The sequence below is a fragment of the Homo sapiens genome, chromosome 17 (assembly GCF_000001405.40).
Source record: "Homo sapiens chromosome 17, GRCh38.p14 Primary Assembly".
Taxonomy (NCBI): domain Eukaryota; kingdom Metazoa; phylum Chordata; class Mammalia; order Primates; family Hominidae; genus Homo; species Homo sapiens.
Window position 1 is genome coordinate 82991160 of NC_000017.11, and position 25302 is coordinate 83016461.

Sequence of the window (25302 nt, forward strand, 5' to 3'; positions counted from 1 at the left end):
TGAACTGGGTTAGCCAAAGATTTCTTAGATACAACATCAAAACCACATCCATGGGCGGGGAGTGGGGAGCAAGGTGGCTGATATGGTTTGGCTGTGTCCCTACCCAAATCTCATCTTGAATTGTACTCCCATAATTCCCACGTGTTGTGGGAAGGACCCAGTGGGAGATAACTGAATCATGAGGGCAGTTTCCCCCATACTGTTCTCATGGTAGTGAATAAGTCTCACAAGATCTGATGGTTTTACATGGGGTTTCCGATTTCGCTTCTCTCTCATTCTCTCTTTGCCTGTCGCCATCCACGTAAGCTTGGTCCTCCTTGCCTTCTGCCATGATTGTGAGGCCTCCCCAGCCAAGTGGAATGCAGATGCAGCTTAGATCGCAACACTCAAGTCCTACTGACTACCTGGAAAGCCTTTCCAAGAAGGACAGGTACGAACAAACATAGACTGCAAAGACTATATGACAAATACCTATCTCTGCAATGCCCAGACACAGATGAACATCCATAAGCATCAAGACCATCCTGGAAAACATGACCTTACCAAATGAACTAAATGAGGCACCAGGGACCAATCCTGGAGAAACAGAGATATGTGACCTTTCAGTCAGAGAATTCAAAGTAGTTGTTCTGAGGAAACTCAGAGAAATTCAAGATAACACAGAAGGTATTCGGAATTCTATTTAAAAAAATTAACAAAGAGATTAAAATAATTAAAAAGAAGCAGAAATTCTGGAGCTGAAAAATGCAGTTGACATACTAAAGAATGAATCAGAACTTTTTAATAGCAGAATTGATCAAGCAGAAGAATTAGTGAGCTTGAAGAAAGGCTATTTGAAAATACATAGTCAGAGAAGACAAAATAAAAAAGAATAAACAATAATGAAGCATGCCTACAATATCTAGAAAATCACCTCAAAAGGGCAAATCTAAGAGTTATTGGCCCTAAAAAGGAGGTAGAGAGATAGGGGTAGAAAATTTATTCAAAGGGATAATAACTTCCCAAACCTAGAGAAAGCTATCAATATCCAAGAATAAAGAGGTTATAGAACACCAAGCAGATTTAACCCAAAGAAGACTACCTCAAGGCATTTAATAATCAAACTCCTGAAGGTCAAGGATAAAGAAAGGACCCTACAAGCAGCAAGAGAAAAGAAACAAATAACACAATGGAGCTGCAATATGTCTGGCAGCAGACTTTTCGGTAGAAACTTTACAGGTCAGTCTTTCATGCCTAGGAGAGGATGGCATGACATATGTAACGTGCTGAAGGAAAAAACTTTTACACTAGAATAGTATATCCAATGAAAATATCCTTCAAACATGAAGGAGAGATAAAGACTTTCCCAGACAAACAAAAGCTGAGGGATATTATCAACACCAGACCTGTCCTACAAGAAATGCTAAAGAGAGTACTTTAATCAGAAAGAAAGGGATATTAATGAGCAAAAAGAAATCACCTGAAGGTACAAAACTCACTGCTAATATGAGTACACAGAAAAACACAAAGTATTATAATGCTGTAACTGTGGTGTGTAAACTACTCTTAAGTGAAAGACTGAACAATGAACCAATCAAAAAGAATAACTATAATAACTTTTCAACAGATAGTACAATAAGATATAAATAGAAACAACAAAAAGTTAAAAAGTGGGGGACAAAGTTAAGGTATAGAGTTTTTATTAGTTTTCTTTTTGCTTGCATGTTTGTTTATGCAAATAGTATTAAGTTGTTATTAGCTTAAAATAATGGGTAATAAGATAATATTTGTAAGCCTGGTGGTAACCTCAAATAAAAAATATACAATGAATACACAAACCATAAAAAGCAAGAAATCAAATCATATTGCCAGAGAAAATCACCTTCACTAAAAGGAAGACATGAAGGAAGGAAAGGAAGAGGAGAATACCAAAATACAACCAGAAAACAAATAACAAAATGGCAGGAGTAAGTCCTTATTTATCAATAGTAACATTAAATGTAAGTGGATTAAATTCTCCAATCAAAAGACATAGAGTGGCTGAATGGATTAAAAAACAAGACCCAATGATCTGTTGCCTACAAGAAACACACCTGGCTTCTAAAGAAACAGGCTTAAAATAAAGCAGTGGAAAAACATACTCCATGCCAATGGAACCAGAAAAGAGCAGGAGTAGCTATACTTATATTGAGGGTCTATCTCAGATGAAATAGATTTAAAGAAAAAAATTATGAGACAAAGAAGGTCACCATATGATGATAAAAAGGTCAACTCAAGAGAATATAACAGTCATAAATATATATGCACCCAATATTGTAGCACCCAGATATATAAAGCAAAATATTATTAAAGCTAAAGAGATAGACCCTCAATATAATAACATCTGGAGACTTCAACACCCTCTTCAACACCTTCAATTTTCAGCACTGAACAGATTTTCCAGACAGAAAATCAACAAGAAACATTGGACTTAATCTGTGCTACAGACCAAATGGACCTAATAGATATTTACAAAATATTTCCTCCATTGGCTGCGGAGTACACATTCTTTTCCGCAGCACATGGATCATCCTCAAGGACAGATCATTTGTTAGGTCACAAAACAAGTCTTACAACATTAAAAAAAAAAACACCTGAAATAATATCAAGCATCTCCTCTGACTACTAAAATATCTAGTTTTATTTAATGGACTAAAACTAGAAATCAATAAGAGGAATTTTGGAAACTATACAAACAATGGTAATTTAACAATATGCTCCTGAATGACAAGTGGGTCAATGAAGAAAGTAAGAAGGAACTTAAAACATTTCTTGAAACAAATGATAATGGAAACACAACATACCAAAACCTATAGGATATAGCAAAAACAGTACTAAGAAGGAAGTTTTAAATAGTTATAAGTGTCTACATCAAAAAAGAAGAAAACCTTCAAATAAACAACCTAACAATGCATCTTAAGCAACTAGAAAAGCAACAAACCCAAAATTAGTAGAAGAAAATAAATAACAAAAATCAGAGCAGAAATAAATGAATTCAACATAAAGAAAATACAAAAGATCAATGAAACAAAAAGTTGGTTCTTTGAAAAGATAAACAAAATTGATAAACTTTTAGCCAGACTAACAAAAAAAGAGAGAACACCCAAATAAAATCAGGGATGAAAAGAGAGACATTACAACTGATACTGGAGAAATTCAAAGAAATTAGTGGCTAGTATGAGCAAGTATACACCAATAAATTGGAAAATCTAAGGGAAAAATTTAGAAAAATTAGAAATAAATCTAGGGGAAGAGATCTAGAAAATCTAGGAAAAAAAATCAAAATTCCTAGACACATACAGCCTACCAAGACTGAACCATGAAAAAATCCAAAACCTAAATAGATCAATAACAAGTAACAGGGTCAAAGTCATAATACAAAGTCTCCTAGCAAAGAAAAGCCTGGGACCCAATGGCTTCACTGCTGAAATCTACCAAACATTTAAAGAACTAATACCAATCCTACCCAAATTATTCCAAAAAATAGAGGAGGAAGGAATACTTCCAAACTCACTCTACAAGACCAATTTTACCCTGATACCAAAACCAGACAAAGACACATAAAAAAATTAAAACTATAGGCCAATATCACTGTAACCACTGAAATCCTCAACAAAGTACTAGCAAACCGAATTCAACAACACATTAAAAAGATCATTCATCACGACCAAGTGGGATTTATTCCAGGGATGCAAGGATAGTTCAACATATGCAAATCAATTAATGTGATACATCATGTCAACAGAATAGACACAAAAACCATATGATCAATTCAATTCATGCTGAAAAAGCATTTGATAACATTCAACATCTCTTCATGATTAAAAATCCTAAAAAGCAAGGTATAGAAGGAACATCCCTTAACATAATAAAAGCCATATACAAAAGATCCACAATTAGTATCATATTGAATGAAGAAAAACTGAAAGCCTTTCCTCTGAGATTGGGAACATGACAAGCATGCCTACTGTCACCACTGTTATTCAACATTGTACTGAAAGTCCTAGCTAAAGCAATCAGGCAAGAGAAATAAAGGGCATCCAAATTGGAAAGGAAGAAGTCAAATTCTCCATGTTTGCAGATGATATAATCTTATATTTTAAAAAAACCTAAAGACTCCACCAAACAACTATTAGACCTGATAAACAAACTCAGCAAAGTTTCAGGATACAAAATCAACATACAAAAGTCAGTAGCATTTCTTTTTCTTTTTTTTTTTTTTTGAGATGGAGTCTCACCCTGTCACCCAGGCTGGAGTGCAGTGGCATGATCTTGGCTCACTGCAACCTCTGCTTCCCGGGTTCAAGCAATTCTCCTGCCTCAGCCTCCCAAGTAGCTGGGATTACAGGCATGTGCCACCACGCCTGGCTAATTTTGTATATTTTAAGTAGAGACGGGGTTTCGCTATGTTAACCAGGATGGGTCTCGATCTCCTGACCTCATGATCCACCCACCTCGCCCTCCCAAAGTGCTGGGATTATAGATGTGAGCCACTATGTCCGGCCATCAGTAGCATTTCTATATGCCAACAGTGAACAATTTGAAAAAGAAATCAAGAAAGTAATCTCATTTACAATAGCTACAAATAAAATAAAATATCTAGGAATTAACTAAAATAAAAGAGTGAAAGATCTCTACAATGAAAACTATAAAACACTGATGCAAGAAATTAAAGAAGAGTAATCTCATTTACAATAGTGATAACTAAAATAAAATGCCTAGGAATTAACTCAACCAAAGGAGTGAAAGATCTCTACGATGAAAACTATAAAACACTGATGCAAGAAATTAAAGAAGAGTAATCTCATTTACAACAGTGATAACTAAAATAAAATTACCAAGGAATTAACTCAACCAAAGGAGTGAAAGATCTCTATGATGAAAACTATAAAACACTGATGCAAGAAATTAAAGAAGGCACCAAAAAAATGGAAAGATATTCCAGGTTCACGGATTCGAAGAACGACTATTGTTAAAATATCTATACTACCCAAAGCAATCTATAGATTTAATGCAATCCCTATCAAAATACCAATGGCATTCTTCACAAAAACAGAAAACACAGGCTGGGTGCAGTGGCTCATGCCTGTAATCCCAGCACTTTGGGAGGCCAAGGCAGGTGGATCATGAGGTCAGGAGTTTGAGACCAGCCCTGGCCAATATGGTGAAACCCCCTCTCCATTAAAAATACAAAATTAGCTGGGTATGGTGGTGCGCACCTGTAGTCCCAGCTGCTCAGCAAGCTGAGGCAGGAGAATCACTCGAACCCTGGAGGCAGAGGTTGCAGTGAGCCGAGAACGCGCGACTGCACTCCAGCCTGGATGACAGAGCGAGACTCTGCCTCAAAAAAAAAAAAAAAAATAGAAAACACAACCCTAAAATTTATATGAAACCACAGAAGAACCAGAATAGCCCCAGCTATCCTAAGCAAGAGGAACAAAATTGGAGGAATCACATTACCTGACTTAGACTACAGAGCTATAGCAATCAAAACAGCATGGTACTTGCATAAAAACAGACACATAGATCCGTGGAACAGAATAGAGAACCCATAGATAAATCAATATATCTACAGTGAACTCATTTTTGACAAACATGCCAAGAACTTACATTGGGGAAGAGATGGTCTCTTCAATAAATGGTGTTGGGAAAACTGGATATCCATATGCAAAAGAATGAAATTAGACCCCTATCTTTCACCATATGCAAAAATCAAATCAAAATGGATTAAAGACTTACATTTAAGACTTCAAACTATGAAACTACTGAAAGAAAACATTGGGGAAATTCTCTAGGACATTGGACTGGGCAACGATTTCTTGAGTAAGACCCCACAAGCACAGGCAACCAAAGCAAAAATGGGCAGACGGGATCACATCAAGTTAAAAAGCTTCTGTACAGCAAAGGAAACTATCAACAAAGTGAAGAGACAACCCACAGAATGGGAGAAAATATTTGTAAATTACCCATCTGACAAGGGATTAATAACCAGAACATATACAGAGCTCAAACAACTCTAGGAAAAATAGAATAATCCGATTAAATGTGGGCAAAAGATCTGAACAGACACTTCTCAAAAGAAGACAAATAGCAAACAGGCACATGAAAAGGTGCTCAACATCACTGATCATCAGAGAAATGCAAATAAAACATACAATTTTTCTCATTCCAGTTAAAATGGCTTTTATCCAAAAAATCAGTCCATAACAAATGCTGGTGAAGATGTGAAGAAAAGGGAACCCCTGTACAATGTCGGTGGGAATGTAAATTAGTACAACCACTATGGAGAACAGTTTGGAGGTTCCTCAAAAAACTAAAAATAGAGCCACTGTATGATCCAGCAATCCCTCTCCTGGGTATATGCTCAAAAGAAAGGAAATCAGTATATCAAAGAGTTGCCTGCACTCACGTATTCACTGCAGCACTATTCACAATAGCCAAGATTTGGAAACAATCTAAATGTCTATCATCACATGAATGAATAAAGAAATGTGGTACATACACACAATGAAGTGTATGAATGAGATCCTGGCATTTGCAACAACATAGACGGCACTGGGGGGTCATTATGTTAAGTGAAATAAGCCAGACACAGAAAGACAAACTTCACATGTTCTCGCTTATTTGTGGGAGCTAAACATTCAAACAATTGACCTCATGGAGATAGAGAATAAAAGGATGGTTACCAGAGGCTGGGAAGAGTAGTGGGTGGTGGGAGGGAAGTAGGGAAGGTTAATGGGTTTAAAAAAAAAAATATATATATATATATATCTATATCTATCTAGATCTATCTATCTATCTATATCTATATATAGATATATATCTAGATATATATAGTTACAAAGAATGAATAAGACCTAGAATTTGCTGGCACAACAGGGTGACTATAGTCAAAATTAGTTTAACTCTACACTTAAAAATAACTAAAAGAATATAGTTGTATTGTTTGTAACACAAAGGATAAATGCTTGAGGTGAAGTGACGGATACCCCATTTACCCTGATGTGATTATCATGCACTGCATGCCTATATGCAAATATCTCACATAATCCATAAATATACGTACTTACTATGTACCCACAATAATTTAAAAAAATTTTAAATCTAAAAAAGCATGTCCATAAAAGGAAAATAGATAAATTGAATTTCATCAAAAATTACAACTTTGTTTGTTTTGTTTTGTTTTGAGACGGAGTTTCACTCTGTCTCCCAGGCTGGAGTGCAGTGGCACAATCTCGGCTCACTGCAAGCTCTGCCTCCCGGGTTCATGCCATTCTCCTGCCTCAGCCTCCTGAGTAGCTGGGACTACAGGCGCCCACCACCATGCCTGGCTAATTTTTTGTATTTTTAGTAGAGATGGGGTGTCACTGTGTCAGCCAGGATGGTCTCAACTGCCTGACCTCATGATCCACCCACCTTGGCCTCCCAAAGTGCTGGGATTACAGGCGTGAGCCACCATGCCTGGCCCAAAAATTACAACTTCTACTCTTTGAAAGACATTGTTAAAAGAATGAAAAGACAAGCCACTGACTCAGAAAACATATTTACAAAGTCTGACAAAGGACTTGTGTCTGGAATATATAAACAACTCTTAAAATTCAACAATAAGAATGCAAACAATTCAACACAAAAATGGGCAAAGGATGTGAACAGACACTTTACCAAAGAAGATACACGGATGGCAAATACATCTACGAAAAGATGTTTCACATTATTACCCATTTGAGAAATGCAAACTAAAATCACCACGAGATACCACTACATACCTACTAGATTAGCTAAAATTAAAAAAAAAAAAAGATCATATCAAGAGTTGGCAAGGACATGGAAGAACTGAATTCTCATACATGGCTTGAGAATGTAAAATGGTGCAACCAATTTGGAAAGCACTTTGGCAGTTTCTTTAAAAGTGAAACACATCCCTACCATATGAACCAGCCCTTCCACTTCTAAGTATTTTCCCAAGAGAAAAGGCTGGACATATATTCACTGTCATGCACACACAAAGGCTTGTACATATGTTCACTGTCATGCACAAAGGCTTGTACATATGTTCACTGTCATGCACACACAAAGGCTTGTACATATGTTCACTGTCATGCACACACAAAGGCTTGTACATATGTTCACTGTCATGCACAAAGGCTTGTACACAAATGTGCAAGGAACTGGAACAACTCAAATGTCCATCTACAGCTAAGTGGGTAAACAAATTGTACATCCACACCACAGAACACAGCTGACCCCTGAACAATGTGGGGGTTAGGGGTGCTGACCCCCTGCACAGTTGAAAATCCATGTATAAGTTTTAACTCCCCGAAAATTTAACCACTAATGCCTTCCTGTTGATGGGAAGCCTTACCGATAACATCAACGGTCGGTTAACACATATTTTGTATGTTATATGTACTATATGCTGTATTTTTACAATAAAGTAAGCTAGAGGAAAGAAAAGCTTATTAAGAAAATCATAAGGAAGAGAAAATACATTTATGGTACTGTACTGTATTTATTGATACCCTAAGTTCACGTAGTCTGTTTACAAGAATCATCTGTCTGAAATGACCACAGCTGCAGCCCTCAGTCTACAGTACATAGCAAGGAATTCAGCTTTTTCTTGTAATGTCATGACTTTTCTCTGCTTTTTGGGAGCACCTCCAGCATTACCAGTGGCACTGTGTATGGGTCCTAGGGTGTCACTCAAGGTTTATAGGATCGCCTTAAACATGATTAAAACTGTGTGAAAACTGTGAGAGGTCACTGGTTTTTTTTGTTGTTGTTTTTTGTTTTGTTTTGTTTTTTTGAGATGGAGTCTCGCTCTGTCGCCCAGGCTAGAGTGCAGTGGCGCGATCTCAGCTCACTGCAACCTCTGCCACCTGGGTTCAAGCGATTCTCCTGCCTCAGCCTCCCATGTAGCTGGGATTACAGGCACCTGTCACTGTGCCTGGCTAATTTTTGTATTTTTAGTAGGGACGGGGTTTCACCATCTTGGCCAGGCTGGTCTCGAACTCCTGACCTCATGATCCACCTGCCTTGGCCTCCGAAAGCGCTGGGATTACAGGCATGAGCCACTGCGCCTGGCCGAGAGATCACTTTTTTACTGTGATTTGTGATTTACTGGAGGGAGGAGCTGTGCTTGCGGAGATGATCAGCCTCACCCAGCGTTTTAAGCACTCACAGCACCTGAGCTCGCGGCTGTGCCGGCAGGAGGGGTTTGTAAAACATCAGTCGTGCAGCACGCACTGCAGTGAGTTTTGTGCAGTTGTGATTCATTTCTGCATCCCTACATTTGTTTAATTTCTCTAAACTGTGAAAGACCCCATATGTGGTCTATAAGTGTTTGTATGCATGTTAAGTTTTGATAAATTTTAACTTTTTATAATAGATTTGTGTATAATTTTTGGTATTACATGATTTAAAAACACTAGCATCACTATATATTTTATGTACTCATGACACATCTTTTTGTTAGTGTTTTCAGTATTCCTAGGCCATGCTGTTTGTCTGAAAGCTTTTCCAAATTGTTACACATCTCCAAAAACCTCTCCAATACACTTGCTGAGAAAAACCCAAGTGTACGTAGGCTGTGCAGTTCCAACACACTGTTCGAGGGTCACCACTGCTGTGAGCGAGCCACGCATCTGGACCCACAGTAATTATGCTGAGTGAAGGTGGCCAGACCAGTGAAGCACACAGCACATGACTGCATTTACCTGAGCCTCCAGCAAATGTAAAACTGCTGTGCAGGCAGAAAGTGGGTCATGGTTGCATGGTGTGGGGAGGGCTCCGGGATGGACAGGAGGAAACTTGGGGTGTTGGATATATGTGTTCACTGTGTTGACTGTGGTGGGTCACTGGGGTACAGACACATGTCAAAACCGATCAAACTGTACATTTGAAATAGGGGCCATTTGCTGTATGTCAGTTATACATCAACAAAGCTATACATCAACAAAGGTATACATCAACAAGACAAATGGACAAATCACTGTAAATCCCATAAAGCCTCTAGCTCTAAGTACTACTTTGCAGGAACTCCAGGGACAGAGGAATCTGTTAAATGAGACCAGGGAGATGCAATCAGCAGAAGTCGGACTACTGAAAGCACCGATGGCAAATCATTCAACATCGTCCACAACATAGTCAAGGAAAAGGAAGACGGAGGAATCTGGATATTTAAAGGGATTTATCAACAACTGCAATGTATGCACCTTCTTTAGATCTCAATTCAAACCAGAAACTGTGAAGAAAAAAGGAAGAAGATGAGAAAGTGGACAAGGAGGAGAAAAACAGAACTTTATGAAACAGAAAGTCCCAGGAAGGAACACTTCGGCATCCTTCAAGTCAACACAGGGTGTAGGACTCCATTTACGTAAAATTCCAGCAAACGTAAACCAGTCTATGGTCACAGAAAGCAGAGGGGCGGGCGGGGTGGGGGACGGGAGCCCCTCTAGGTGCTGGGTGTGTGACCTGCACACAGAGACATCTGAGAGGAACAAGTGGTGGGTTTGCAGTAACATCGTTTTTTCTCTGTAATTTTTTATATTGCTTGACTTTATGAAACAGTGAAGCATAACTTTTGACAAATGCAATAAAGTTTTTCTTTTTCTTTTTTTGAGACAGGGTCTGTTGCCCAGGCTGGAGGGCAGTGGTACAATCATGGCTCATGGTGGCCTTGACCTCCTGGGCTCAGGTGATCCTCCCACCTCAGCCTCCCGAGAAACTGGGACTAAAGGTGTGAACCACCACACCCAGATAATGTTTCGTAGAGACAGGGTCTCACTATATTGCGCAGACTGGTCTTAAATCCCCAGGCTCAAGTGATCCTCCTGCTTCAGCCTCTCAAAGTGCTGGGATTATAGGCGTGAGCCACTGCGCCTTTTTTTTTTTTTTAAATTTCCCACACTATACTGGCATGAAGGTCTATTTTAAAATTGTTTTAAGTGAATACAGTATGTAACTGATAAAAGAACATTGATTCATTTTAATTAAAAAACATGAAAATAAAAAACTCTTCTATGGGCATCAAAGCTAACACTCAGGAGAAAGCCTGCCCCCACGGGGCAGCTCAGCCATGGCCTCCGGGGAACCCGCTCTCGGTGACAGCGCTCTGACCGCGGTCTGGAGCTGGGCTGAAACTCAACATGTGTCCAGACTGCTGCAGTTCAGAACCAGCTTGGCAACGCCGAACCGCATTCCGGTTTGCACGAGGTGCACGTTACTTAGAAAAGTAGCCACAGTCTGCCTGAGTTCCCGTTTTAAGTATTTTCACAACTTCACTGAAAAGCACAGCAACTCACTCACAGTGTGCAGCCTAGTCACCAGGACACGCGCCCTCGGCCGCTAGCTCGTACAGGGAAGGGCTGTCATGACATGACCACAAGATGGTCTCTGCCTCCCCCAGGGGCAGCCAAGGGCCCCACAGAGGATGGCAGGGACAAGCCACCCATGTGGCAACGGCCACGTCCCCTCCCTCAGACGGCAGCCAGTCATACCCGAGGCGGCACCGCGGGCGGCCCCGTGTCCAGTCTCACAGAAGCACAGTCCACTGCCGAGGACACCCTGTTGTCCACATCGCATGCAGCAGCCTGGCTCTTGGAACGTGCTGGGGGCACACGGGACACGGAGACGCTGAAACACTAGCTGTGGGATTCCTGAGCCCGCCCTCCCACTCTCTGCAGTCCGCGTGTGGGATTCCTGAGCCCGCCCTCCGCGTGTGGGATTCCTGAGCCCGCCCTCCCGCCCTCCGCGTGTGGGATTCCTGAGCCCGCCCTCCCACTCTCCGCAGTCCGCGTGTGGGATTCCTGAGCCCGCCCTCCCGCCCTCCGCGTGTGGGATTCCTGAGCCCGCCCTCCCGCCCTCCGCGTGTGGGATTCCTGAGCCCGCCCTCCCACTCTCCGCAGTCCGCGTGTGGGATTCCTGAGCCCGCCCTCCCGCCCTCCGCGTGTGGGATTCCTGAGCTCGCCCTCCCACTCTCTGCAGTCCGCGTGTGGGATTCCTGAGCCCGCCCTCCGCGTGTGGGATTCCTGAGCCCGCCCTCCCACTCTCTGCAGTCCGCGTGTGGGATTCCTGAGCCCGCCCTCCCGCCCTCCGCGTGTGGGATTCCTGAGCCCGCCCTCCCGCCCTCCGCAGTCCGCGTGTGGGATTCCTGAGCCCGCCCTCCCGCCCTCCGCGTGTGGGATTCCTGAGCTCGCCCTCCCACTCTCTGCAGTCCGCGTGTGGGATTCCTGAGCCCGCCCTCCCACTCTCCGCAGTCCGCGTGTGGGATTCCTGAGCCCGCCCTCCCGCCCTCCGCGTGTGGGATTCCTGAGCTCGCCCTCCCACTCTCTGCAGTCCGCGTGTGGGATTCCTGAGCCCGCCCTCCCACTCTCTGCAGTCCGCGTGTGGGATTCCTGAGCCCGCCCTCCCACTCTCTGCAGTCCGCGTGTGGGATTCCTGAGCCCACCCTCCCACTCTCTGCAGTCCGCGTGTGGGATTCCTGAGCTCGCCCTCCCACTCTCTGCAGTCCGCGTGTGGGATTCCTGAGCCCGCCCTCCCGCCCTCCGCATGTGGGATTCCTGAGCCCGCCCTCCCGCCCTCCGCGTGTGGGATTCCTGAGCCCGCCCTCCCACTCTCTGCAGTCCGCGTGTGGGATTCCTGAGCCCACCCTCCCACTCTCTGCAGTCCGCGTGTGGGATTCCTGAGCTCGCCCTCCCACTCTCTGCAGTCCGCGTGTGGGATTCCTGAGCTCGCCCTCCCGCCCTCCGCGTGTGGGATTCCTGAGCTCGCCCTCCCACTCTCCGCAGTCCGCGTGTGGGATTCCTGAGCCCGCCCTCCCGCCCTCCGCATGTGGGATTCCTGAGCCCGCCCTCCCGCCCTCCGCGTGTGGGATTCCTGAGCCCGCCCTCCCACTCTCTGCAGTCCGCGTGTGGGATTCCTGAGCCCGCCCTCCCGCCCTCCGCGTGTGGGATTCCTGAGCTCGCCCTCCCACTCTCCGCAGTCCGCGTGTGGGATTCCTGAGCCCGCCCTCCCGCCCTCCGCGTGTGGGATTCCTGAGCCCGCCCTCCCACTCTCCGCAGTCCGCGTGTGGGATTCCTGAGCCCGCCCTCCCGCCCTCCGCGTGTGGGATTCCTGAGCCCGCCCTCCCACTCTCTGCAGTCCGCGTGTGGGATTCCTGAGCTCGCCCTCCCGCCCTCCGCGTGTGGGATTCCTGAGCTCGCCCTCCCACTCTCTGCAGTCCGCGTGTGGGATTCCTGAGCCCGCCCTCCCGCCCTCCGCGTGTGGGATTCCTGAGCTCGCCCTCCCACTCTCTGCAGTCCGCGTGTGGGATTCCTGAGCTCGCCCTCCCGCCCTCCGCGTGTGGGATTCCTGAGCTCGCCCTCCCACTCTCTGCAGTCCGCGTGTGGGATTCCTGAGCTCGCCCTCCCACTCTCTGCAGTCCGCATGTGGGATTCCTGAGCTCGCCCTCCCACCCTCCGCACTCCGCGTGTGGGATTCCTGAGCTCGCCCTCCCACCCTCCGCAGTCCGCGTGTGGGATTCCTGAGCCCGCCCTCCCACTCTCTGCAGTCCGCGTGTGGGATTCCTGAGCCCGCCCTCCCACCCTCCGCAGTCCGCGTGTGGGATTCCTGAGCTCGCCTTCCTGCCCTCTGCGGTCTGCGTGTGGGATTACTGAGCTCACCCTCCCGCCCTCCGCGTGTAAGTGGACCTGTGCGGTCGGGTTTCCCAGCTCAGAACTTGAACCAGCCTGAACTGCCGGCCTGAGACCAGCCTAGCACATGTGTCCGCTGGGGCCACTCTCATCTTCCACTCTGTGCGATTGATGGCATGTGAGTGAAGGCGAGGACAGAAGGACCACGGCCCACGACGACGCAGACACAAGAGGCCACAGCATAATGCATGAGATGGCGCCCAGAGGCGACCTGTGCACCTGCCCCAGACAAGGCGCCAGGCGAGGTACCTGGGTTAGGAGCTGCTCCGGCGTCAGCTGGTTGATCCAACGTGTGTATCGTTCGGTGGAGTTAGGGGGATCTCTCCTCACTCTGCAACCAATGATCTGTGAAAAACAACGGCAGACAGAGCTCAAAACAAAGTCAGGTACGCAGGTGCATGTGCACACCTGTGTGTATTCATCTCACATGTTTTAGGCAGAGATGTCCAGACAGGAAACTGAAATGCTGCAAATCTGGGTCAGGCAAACACCGGGAGTCGAGGGCGAGGAGGAGGAGGGATGCCTGCTTTTGCTTGGGGACAGCATAGCAACGATGGGCACGACAGAAGACGGCCCTGGACGCGCATCTCGGCGGTGAACCACAGAGCTGCCCTGGGCTGGATTGAGAATATGTCACAGATGACATTTCCCCTTAATGAACTCAAATCAAATGGCCCATATGCAAGGTGAGTTATTTCTAAGAACTCACTTCTTGAATCACATGCAAAGTGGATGTGAGGAAACCGCTGCCTGTCCGCAGGCCGCCCGTCTGAACCTGCTCCATTCAGCTCAGGAAAGCAGCGTCCCTAAGTGGAGAAGAGCCTTGCTACCAGCTGGCTTCCTCCAGGGCCGACAACCCTCTCCCCGGGCATCCAGGCCAGCACCCCTGCCTCAGGTGACATCCTGTCAGTAGCCTTGACCCCCTCCCGGGCCCTGCAGAGCCTCAGAGCATCACCTGCCTCAGCCTTTCTCAACCCTTCCCCCGCCCTCCGCCCTGCCCGGCCCCCTCCAGCCTGACCTCTGCCCCGGAGTGGGCTCCCAGCACTCAGCCCTGGCTCTGTTCTGCTCCTGAGATCCAGAGGTAGGAGGGCAGGTCCTTCAGGGCTCACACTCACCTTGCAGTGGGAGGAGCTGGCTGGAGAGAGGGCACCTGGGCGCGTCCGTAGGAAACAGCACCCACCCCAAGTGAGGGCCCAGGGCCAGCAGAGCCTCCCGAGTAGACGTTCTCACAGCACAGGCCCCAGGTCACAAGTCCCAGCGGACGCAGCTGATTCCGTCTCACCCAAGACCAACAAGGAGACAATAGTGAAAATGTAACTGTGGTCCAAAGAGTGGTATCAGTGAGCCAGTCTCCTAACTCTGAAGCGATGAAGTCACACCGAGGCATCTGAGGCCCCTGGATCTGTCTCCAACTTGTGTAGCGTTTACGCGTAGTGAGTGATTCTTTTCTACCAATGCAGTTAATGACGTGCTTGGGGGAGGCTTCTGTTTGCATTTGTTGTTGTTGTTGTTTTTTAATTAAACTTACTTTGAGAAAATTGTGAATTCACATTGCAGCTGTAAGAAACAACTGTAGAGAGACCCTCTGTGCCCTTCACCACTTCCTCTGGTGGTAACATCACGAGGACCCAAGGTCAACGCCGCACCAGGAGAGGGACATGATGGAGTCCAGATCCAGATGTCCCAGGGCACGAGCACCCGAGGCGCCCCTTACAGCCACTGGCAGCCCCTCAACGGCAGCCGCTGTGCTATCCCGACGCCGTGGCTGTGCTATCCCGACGCCGTGGCTGTGCTCTCCAGAGCATGATCCGGGAACGTGCAGGAGGCGGCCTTCTGTGCCCGGCTTTCGCACTGCTCCTCGGCTCCCAGGACAGGCTTCCAGTCACTGCATGTAACAGTAGTCAGGTCCTGTGCTGGCGATCCCGAACATTCAAGTTCAGGTTTGTCTGTGAACAGCGTCTTCAATCCACTGGGATAAATGCCCAGGAGAGCAACTGCCGGGTCACAGAACAGTTACATGTTTAGTTTTTACAGGAACTTCCAAACAGTCTCCAGAGTGGTTGCGCCGTCTCTCACCCTCAGTGATGCATGAGGATCCAGCTTCTCTGCCTCTCGCCAGCACTGGGTGTCTCGGTTTTCATTCCGTTCTGATGGCACCGTGCTTTAACACAGGCTCCCTGAAGGCTGGCGAGGAGCATCTTTTCGCCTGGTTCTTTGCCGTCTGTACACCCTCCTTAGTGAAATGTCTTTTCATGTATTTTGCTCATTTTCTAATTGGAACAAACGTGCTCGGCCATGGCTGTGTAATTCTTTTCATATGCTGCTGAATTCTATCTGTGAACCTTTCATGTCTCTCTCCTAAAGCACATGCTAAAAATAGTTGTGAATTAGGACAGCTCTGGAGCCGCCGCCCTGCCCAGCGAGTTTTCCCCACACCCAATCTGACCGAGATGCATTTCTAAACTGTTTGGTGTGTCTGTTTCTGTGCATCCTGCATAGCATCTACCTACGTACAATTGCATCTGTTTCCTGGTCTTGTCTATACTGTCTCACGTTTGACTGCTGAACAGAAAAGATTTTGAGGGAAGCTGATCAAAAGCTGGAGGTAGAAGTCCTTTGTTCCAAAACGTGAAGACAGAGAGGCTCAGCATCTACACACAAACACCGAGACCCTGAGGCCAGCACTGCCGGGTCCTGGGAGGCAGCTGTGGGCGACAGGTGAGTACACGCCAGCCCACTCCTGAGAGCCTGGATCCCGCTGGGGCATGAGAGGCGCCTCTCGGACGGGGGCTGATTGACGCCTGCTTCCACTGCGCATGCCCGACCCCTCCCCATGACTCCCCCAGCTTCATGCTTCCCTGGAAAGGTAAAGCCACACCGGGTCTCTCACCAAGAGTGAGGACGGGGTGGGGGAATCCTGTGAAACTAGAGGCCCGAGGCTGGCAATTCCTGTGGCTTTAATTAACCACGAGCCACGAGCATTGGTCTATAAACGGAGGAGGTGAGAGGATCTTTTTTGGCCTCAACATTTTTTAACCTTGGAAGAAGGCAGCAAGCTCTCTCCCGTGCAACTGCATCTAAACAGCAGTAGGAAGGCGTGGATTCCAGACAGACCAACAGCGCCCAGCCGCGATGCTGCCGGCACCTTCCTCTGCAGGAGACCTCGCGCTCTCAAGAGGAGGCGCAGGGAAGAGGCACGCTCTCAAGAGGAGGAGGAGGCGCAGGGAAGAGGTGCGCTATGCGCTTAATCCTGCACCGAGACGTCAGATTCTCAGGGCAGGAGCTTTTGTGGGCACCGCACCTAGCACAGGGCCTGGACCCAGTGAGCAGATGTGAATGAGAGGCCTGTGCGCTGGCCTGAGAGGCTGGCTAACTTTCTCCAGGTTCCTAGAAGAAGCCACTTTCAAGGCTTTCGAGAAGTGTTGTGAGCTAATTCATTTGAAAGCCTCTGTGCCAACAGGCGGAGCAGAAAGCGCAGGCCGCTGGAGTTGATCCCAACAAGCAATCTTGGAACTCTTTCTGAATTTATACGGGGACCACCAGGATCTGGCAATTCCACCGAAAAAAAGAGTCAGAACGTTGAAAGGAATAGGATACTGACAGAAGGGAGGTGTGAGGGGACACGGGGGGCTGTGCTCCCTAAGTTGCCTGCCACAGTCCCTCCCTGCCTGCCCTCCTCACATGGCCATCGACCCTCAAGCACTGAGAGGTGAGGTCTGCGCTCCCTCCCCTCAAATCTGGGGTCAGCATGACACCACGTGACACGGTGCTCTGGGGCTACATTGTCAAAGGCAACGCAGCTTCTGGCAGGCTCTCCTGGACACTTGTTCTTGCAGCCACCATGCTGCGAGGAAGCCTGAGCAGCTTCGTGGAGAGAAAGCGCCCAGCCCGGATCCCTGCCATTGAGCGAGTGCGCGGGCTCCAGATGATCCCAGCCAGGATCCCTGCCGCCGAGCGAGTGCGCAGGCTCCAGATGATCCCAGCCCGGATCCCTGCCGCCGAACGAGTGTGCGGGCTCGAGATGATCCCAGCCCGGCAGTCCAGAGGTGAGGATGCCTGCGAATGGAGACAAGCGGCCCTTCCTGACCCACAAAGACGGAAACTCAGACTTGCAAGGTGAACCCATCACACAGAAGGAAACTCACACCCCCAGGTGAACCCATCACACAGAAGGAAACTCACACTCCCAAGTGAACCCATCACACAGAAGGAAACTCACACCCTCGAGGTGAGTCCCCCATCATAAAACGTAACTCAGGGCTGGAACGTAACTCAGGGCTGGGCGCAGTGGCTCACACCTGTAATCCCAGCACTTTGGAAGGCAGAGGCGGGTGGATCACGAGGTCAGGAGTTCGAGACCAGCCTGACCAACATGGTGAAACCCTATCTCTACTAAAAATACAAAAAAATTAGCCGGGCGTGGTGGCGCACACCTGTAATCCCAGCTACTCAGGAGGCTGAGGCAGGAGAATCACTTGAACCTGGGAGGCGGAGGTTGCAGTGAGCCGAGACCGTACCCCTGCACTCCAGCCTGGGCAACGGAGCAAGACTCCATCTCAAAAAAAAAAAGTAACTCAGATTCATGAGGTAAGCCCCCCACACAGAAAGGAACTGAGACCCACGAGGTGAGTCCCCCCACTGCACGGCCTGGCACAGTTTGCAGGGCCCTTGGCTCTAAAGACGGTGGCAAGAAGGTCAGGGCTGCTGGGGCTGCAGCTCAGACTCCCCGTGGATTCGCCACAGAGGCCGAGTCCTGAAGACGGCAAAGGGGCGAGACCTTCGATGGGCAGCGCAGGAGGGTCAAGCGTGTCTGGGTGAACCCAGGTGAGGTGCCCTCGGTGCATGGTGCTGGGTGCGAGGGAGGAAGGAGGGGCCGGGCTGAGGCGGGAGGCAAATGAACGCAGAGAGCTCAGAAGGGCCCCTTCCCAGAAAGACACGTTTCTGGCACAGACTCAAGAAGTCAGCTTCTGAATTACACTGAAGGAAAGAAAAGAAACCAGTTGCATTTTTGACACTAACATCAGCTCCCTGGGGCCACTGCCTTGGAGTGAACGACTTGCCGTCCACTGCTGTGGGGGAGGGGGGCTGTGGGGGAGGGGAGCTGTGGGGGAAGGGAGCTGTGGAGGCCCCTGGTGTTGGGGGGCTGTGGGGGCCCCTGGTGTGGGGGGGCTGCCCGGCGGGGGGCTGGGGGGGCTGTGGGGGCCCCTGGTGTGTGGAGCTGCAGGGGACCCTGGTGTGGGGGGGGCTGCGGGGGCCCCTGGTGTGGGGTGCTGTGGGCAGCCAGGGGTGCCTGGGGAGCTCGTTCAACCACCAGGCAGGCGGCTCTTCTCCAGCACTGCTGCTGCTGAGCCACGCCCCAGGGTCCAGAGTCACCAGCACCGGGGGCTTCGGCCGCCACTCCTGAGCAGCGATGTTGAAGGCGAAGGTGAAGGAGGAGCACCCAGGCCTGACAGCCCGAACTACAGCCCAGCAGAGCCCGGAGGCAGCCGTCCAGTGTGACCCTGTCACTCCCTGCCCCCGGAGCGAAGAGCACGGTCAGAGGAGAGCCCACAAGCACTCCAACTTCAAGAGCTGAGTCAGTCACTGCAACAGCTTCTGCCTCTCCAAGGCCCAGTCTGGCATGTTCTGCCCCTTCCAGCTTGGGAAGTCACACACCGGTCTGGGCATGGGCTCACAGGGCTGGGGGCCGTGGCCCTCCCAGGCTGCATGTGCAGAGGGGCTGACGCCCCAGCCCTGTGCTCTGGGACTTCCTCAGACAAAGGCTGCAGAGTGCACCGCGGACTTCATTTAAACAGAACACCTGGAAGTCCTGTTTATTTAAGTTAACACGCAGCTTCTTGTGGGGGCAGAAGTGGAAGCAGGGAGAGTCGGCTGCCGTGCCGTCTGGATGATTATGGCTTGGCACAGGCAAGGAGCGGGGAACGGCGCCCAGGATGCAGGGCACGGCGGCTCCACCCATTCCCCCGACAGGCAAGCTGTGGCCCAGGCTGCTTCACAGGAACCCTCCCGTCTTTGTTCCTCCGCGTCGCTTCCCTACACCTCCCTGCATGCTCCATCCCAGTGCACGAGGGTGGGTGAGGCTGTACCCTAAGGTGGAGCACCTGCCCTCACGGGGCTGTACCCCGAGGACTGGTCTTGAACGTTGGGAACAGAGATCAGCTCTGGAAAGGAGCTGGGTGGAGCCAGGGCAGCCTTCGTGTTTGGTCTGGGGTGGTCTAGAGGTGACCAAGAATGCAGGCTTTCCTCTCCGATGTCTCCTGAGCCCAGGCACAGAGGTGGGAAACCACAGGGTGCACAGTGTCAGGAATCCAAGGGTCAGCCGGGGCGAGAGGAGGAGGAAGGACGGGGGTTGGCTGGCCCTCAGGAACGGGGGCAAGTTACAGGGCGCAATGCGGGTTCCCTGTTCTTGCTAACCTTGGATAACGATGCTCTACATGCAGGATTCCTAAAGTTCTGCAGTGATTTATCTACATGCAAATGCACGATTTATGAAAGCCGCCATCAAAGGTCCTTCCTAATTAGCTGGTTTCTTGTAAAAGATCTTAAGAAAACAACGACCAAGTACAAGTATCTCAGCGTTTATTTCATTCTCTCAGGACAAACTACACAATGTAATTCACGTAACCACGAACCAGCAACTGCAAATTAAGATTTTTGTAGGTCATGATTTCTAAAAAATCCAGCCACGCAATAACAGCCTTTCTAAAGCTGACTTTGTTTTAGTGAAACAAAACTGTGATGACATCCCTAAGCTTCCTCCAGAAGAGCTTCGACGTGGAGAAACGGGGTGGACGCTCCACCTAACCGCGCCATTGGGAAAAGAGGAGGCACCTGGAGCAGAAGCTTCTCTCCCAAGTGCACAACAGAGCATCAGCGAAGGCAGTGAGAAGAGTAGCAAGAAAAAGGTTTAAAATCATCGATGAAAATGGAAATTAAGCTTGTCTTATTACAATTAAGACAAACTGACCATGTGCATTTTCCCCACATTCCTGTGGGGAATCCCAGCTCGTTTGAACACACGCCACGAACTCCTGGTATCCGTAAGTATCCCAGCTCGTTTGAACACACGCCACGAACTCCTCGTATCCATAAGTATCCCAGCTCGTTTGAACACACGCCACGAACTCCTCGTATCCATAAGTCTCCCAGCTCGTTTGAACACACGCCACGAACTCCTCGTATCCATAAGTCTCCCAGCTCGTTTGAACACACGCCACGAACTCCTCGTATCCATAAGTCTCCCAGCTCGTTTGAACACACGCCACGAACTCCTCGTATCCATAAGTCTCCCAGCTCGTTTGAACACACGCCACGAACTCCTCGTATCCATAAGTCTCCCAGCTCGTTTGAACACACGCCACGAACTCCTCGTATCCATAAGTCTCCCAGCTCGTTTGAACACACGCCACGAACTCCTCGTATCCATAAGTCTCCCAGCTCGTTTGAACACATGCCACGAAGAACTGCCAAAGGCAACTCCATTAATGAAGCCAATCTGGGCTTGTTTTTCAGTATGGAAATGAAAACATCTGAAAGTATCTCCTCCACTAAAATGTCAACACTCCTAACAAAATTCCTTAGACGTCTGTATGATTGATTCTAAATAGCTGGCAACTGTCATTTCTAGCTGTGTAAAAATCGCTGTGGCACCTCACATACGGACGGCTCAGTCCAGCCACGGTTTCCAGCTCACGGGCCGGCACAGGGTCTGCTCCACCTTCCAGTCCACAGGACCACACAGCTGCAGGGACGCAAAGGGAGCCGTTGGGCAGCTAACGTGGCAGGGACGCCCCTTTCCTCTCCAGCCTCCATGTGCGATATCTCACACCTCTGCAAAAGGCCCTCCTGGAAACCCCAGACTCTGCACTTTCCTCACATAAACTGTCCACAGAAGTCCATCCCGAAGGACATTTTCCCCCATTTTCCCCCTATTCCCCACAAAGGAACTGGACTGGAAAAACCGTCTGTGATCACTCTCTGTTTCCACATGACTGAAACCCCACAGCACCTGTGGCTGGGGTAGAAATCACCCCTAATCCCTAGATCCCCGGGCCCCCCGTCCCACCCGACAAGCAGACACTCTCGGACGTCTCTCCCAGGCAGTCCATGCCTGTAAACTTCCAGAAACTGACTTCCGGAGCCTGTGGCCCCGATTGCCATGGATATGCTGTCACACTCTCACACGTATTTGTGGTTGCTACGGAGAAACATTCAGACATATTTGCGGTTCCTAAACTTTGCAAACACGTGACCCTTTTAAGAATCTGCTACAAGCCACAGAGCTCTCTCCTGCCCTCACAGAAAATGTGCCCCCACAGAAGGCCCTGCAGCCACGCTGGGGCCACTGAGCCCCAGGACCTGACACACCCCCAAAGGAGGCAACCGTGTGGGGCCCTCTGCACCCGAGAAGGTGGCCTGTGTCTCAGTCTGTCTCCTGCCTCACGTGAGACGCAAACCTCCGTGCAGCCGGCTGCACCCCCAGCACCGCCCACCCCCAGCGCACCAGCCCTGCCCCCATCCCAACCCCCCTCCCCCTCAATGCTGCCCCCCCAAACCCCCACACCCTTTCCCCCCTCCCAACCCCCTCTGGTTCCAACACCCAGGCCCTCCCCTTCAGACGCCCCCAGCACACCCGTCCTGCCCTTGCCCCCCTGCCCGACCCCCCACAGGGTGAACTGTCACGAGCACCCACTCTGTGGGGAGCTGGGCTCCCAGCGCCGTGTGGGCCAGACCCTGCCGTGACCAGGCCCGTCTGTGACCTGACCAGGATGTGACCAGAGCCGGCCGTGACTGAACCGTGTGGTGACCCAACCGCACACGTGCCCACGACGCACAGCCCCGCGGGGGGAGGGCAGAGGGGCCTGTCCAGGGTGAGCGCCAAACTGCCCGGGGGACGGACACTGTGGGCGCTGGACAGTTATGGATCCCTCAGTGTTAAAACCCAAGTGATCACCGCTGTGATTCAAAGTCTTCTAAAACTTGAGCGAGATCTCTGAGGACACAGTCACCTTCCCTGAAGCCAGCAGGAGCCTCGCGGTGGCTGAGACACCAGCTCCAGGGATCCCTGGGCCATGTGTCCCCACCATCTGCGGTGGGGGATGGAGGAGCCCACGGGGCACTGCTGTGCTTCCTCCCCACTGGGCGGAGGAGCCCACGGGGCACTGCTGGGCTGAGGAGGGGCCCCAGGAAGCCTGGCTTTGGAGGGGCAACTGAGAAGCCGTTCTAAAGATAAAAACCGTAATTTAAGATCGTCTAAATAAGAAAAACGTTTAACTGTGAACACGGTATAGCTCTCAGCCTGTGTTTTCATGTCTAAGGCGCTCAGCTTCTAAAACGCTGATTAAAAACAAACAACACAACCACCTTTGCACCCTACGAAAATAACAGGAGAAAAATCAGGGGCATGTTTTTCTCCAAAGGAAAACACCCTCCAGGGCTCAGAGACATGCCAGCCACAGATCCCTCTCCGTGACTTGACAGTCTCACCATAGCCTGATTCTTTCCACCCCTAGGAAAACTCTTTATTTAAAAAACCACAGTGGTAATTTCACTAAAGGTAGTAACGACACTAAGGAGGCCAGTACTTACGCTCGACGGGTGCTGAACGGCAGCCTCGTGTTGCAGCCTCACCCGCTGGGGCATCATGACGTCATCCTGCAGTAAAGAACACACTTTCCGTTTGTTTGTTTGCATTGATTGATGCATAGACTAATACAGTCCCGCTTTATTGCCCAGGCTGGAGTGCAACGGCACAATCATAGCTCACTGCAGCCTCAAACTCCCGGCTTCAACTGATCCTCTCGCCTCAGCCTCCCAAAGAGTTGGGATTACAGGCTTGAGCCACCATGCTCAGCCCCAAGAACATATTTTAAACTCACATAAAGCAATTCCTACAAATAAGTAAGAAAACGATAGACAATCCAACAGCAAAACAGGCAAGGGCCTTGAACAGGCCATTCAGACAAGAGGATTTCCAGTGGACCAACAACCTCGTCAGCCATCAGAGAAATGCAATTAGTTATGCAGCGGAGAAGGAAAAATAAAAAATGCTGACAATTCCAAGTGTACTTAATTAGGCAGAACAAGAGCTCCCATGCACTGCTGGCTGCGATGAGGACCTGTTACCACTGTGGAGGGGGACCGTCTGCAGTGAAGACCTGCCACCACTGTTGAGGGGACCGTCTGCGGTGAGGACCTGCCACCACTGTGGAGGGGACCGTCTGCGGTGAGGACCTGCCACCACTGTGGAGGGGGACCGTCTGCGGTGAGGACCTGCCACCACTGTGGAGGGGACCGTCTGCGGTGAGGACCTGCCACCACTGTGGAGGGGGACCATCTGCGGTGAGGACCTGCCACCACTGTGGAGGGGACCGTCTGCGGTGAGGACCTGCCACCACTGTGGAGGGGACCGTCTGGCATCTTCCAGCAAAGCTGAAGATGCACTTCCCTAAGACCCTGACGTCTGACTACTTGGGTAGGAAAAGCCCTACTCACACACACAGACATGCTCACGGCAGCTCATTCAAATGTGGAAAGAACCCAGTGAGTGAGAATAGCAGATACATGAATTGTGCATGTTATTTTCAAATGCCATTCAGCAGCTGAACACAACAGAAATTTCACAAGCCTAATGTTCAGTGAAAGAAGCAAGACACAAGAATATACATGGTATTTTCCCCTTATTTAAATTCAAAACCAAGCCAAATAAACCATATTATTTAAGAAATGCACACACAGTGTGTACCAGGGTCCCAATTCCCGGGGAAGCGGGCTGGTGCCGCGCCATGGACCAGGCCACACAGCAGGAGTGAGCGGCGGCCGGGCGAGCGTCACGGCCTGAGCTGCCCCTCCTGTCAGAGCAGCGGCTGCATTAGACCCTCACAGGAGCGCAAACCCTACTGTGAACTGCACACGCGAGGAATCCAGGTCACAGACTCCTTATGAGCATCTAACTAATGCTGACGGCCTGAGGTGGAACTGTTTCATCCCAAAACCACGCCCCCCCACCATCGGTCTGTGAAAACATTGTCTTCCACAAAACCTGTCCCTGGTGCCAAAAAGGCTGGGGACCACGGATATAAACCATAAAGAAAAGCAACAACATTATAACCTTGAAGATCAGAAGAGTGGTCACTTTTTGGGGGGAAGTCGAGGTGGGGGCATGGGTGGGACAGTCCCTTTAAGGTGCCGGCCATAAGCATTTATTGATCGAGTGGTAGCTACACAAATATTTGCTTCATAATTAACTTGTAAATTAATGGATATTTATGTTTTGTGCATTTTTCTGTGGGTGTATTCTATCTCATGATAAAAAAATTAAGTGGAAGAACAGCAAAGGTTTAAGTACATGAGTAAAAGGTACAAATGTACTCAATAGCAGAAATAAGAATAATGTCATTGGAAGGATATCTGTTTTTAAGTTGAACGCTAAGATGAACTAAAATACCCATATTTATGTCTCTTATTCCCGCAAAACGGCCTTAGGACATTCAGATCATCCAACGAACCATGCTGAGGGAAGCCGAGAGGAACCTAGTGGGGCTGAAGAGAGGAGGCTGGGGACAGAGGGGAAGTGGGAGGAGGGCAGAGAGAAGAG

The 25302-nt window shown here is 49.0% G+C and overlaps 1 protein-coding gene across 18 annotated transcripts in view, besides 1 other annotated feature; it reads right to left on the minus strand.

The window, feature by feature from the left end:
• QTGAL (queuosine-tRNA galactosyltransferase) overlaps positions 1-25302 on the minus strand; it is a 109622-nt gene that overhangs the window by 49011 nt on the left and 35309 nt on the right. For 13 of the 18 annotated variants that reach the window (XR_007065267.1, XR_002957964.2, XR_002957963.2 and 10 more), the window contains 2 exons: positions 23295-23360; positions 13956-14051 (listed from right to left, as the gene is read on the minus strand). Coding sequence is in view for 8 of the 18 variants with exons in the window: in XM_047435395.1 (XP_047291351.1) it covers positions 13956-14051; positions 23295-23360 (162 nt within the window). In the remaining 10 variants the exon portion in view is untranslated. Of the gene's footprint in view, positions 1-13955; positions 14052-14415; positions 14621-14821; positions 15839-20268; positions 21170-23294; positions 23361-25302 lie in introns of those variants that run through there. The other 5 variants (NR_135466.2, NM_001320743.2, XM_047435397.1 and 2 more) reach the window with 4 other exon arrangements.
• Positions 19028-19550: an enhancer, noted in NCBI's record as "H3K4me1 hESC enhancer chr17:80968063-80968585 (GRCh37/hg19 assembly coordinates)". NCBI's record gives its function as "activates a minimal SCP1, AML or CMV promoter by ChIP-STARR-seq in primed H9 embryonic stem cells {active_cell/tissue: H9 hESC(primed)}" and the evidence as "EXISTENCE:reporter gene assay evidence [ECO:0000049][PMID:30033119]".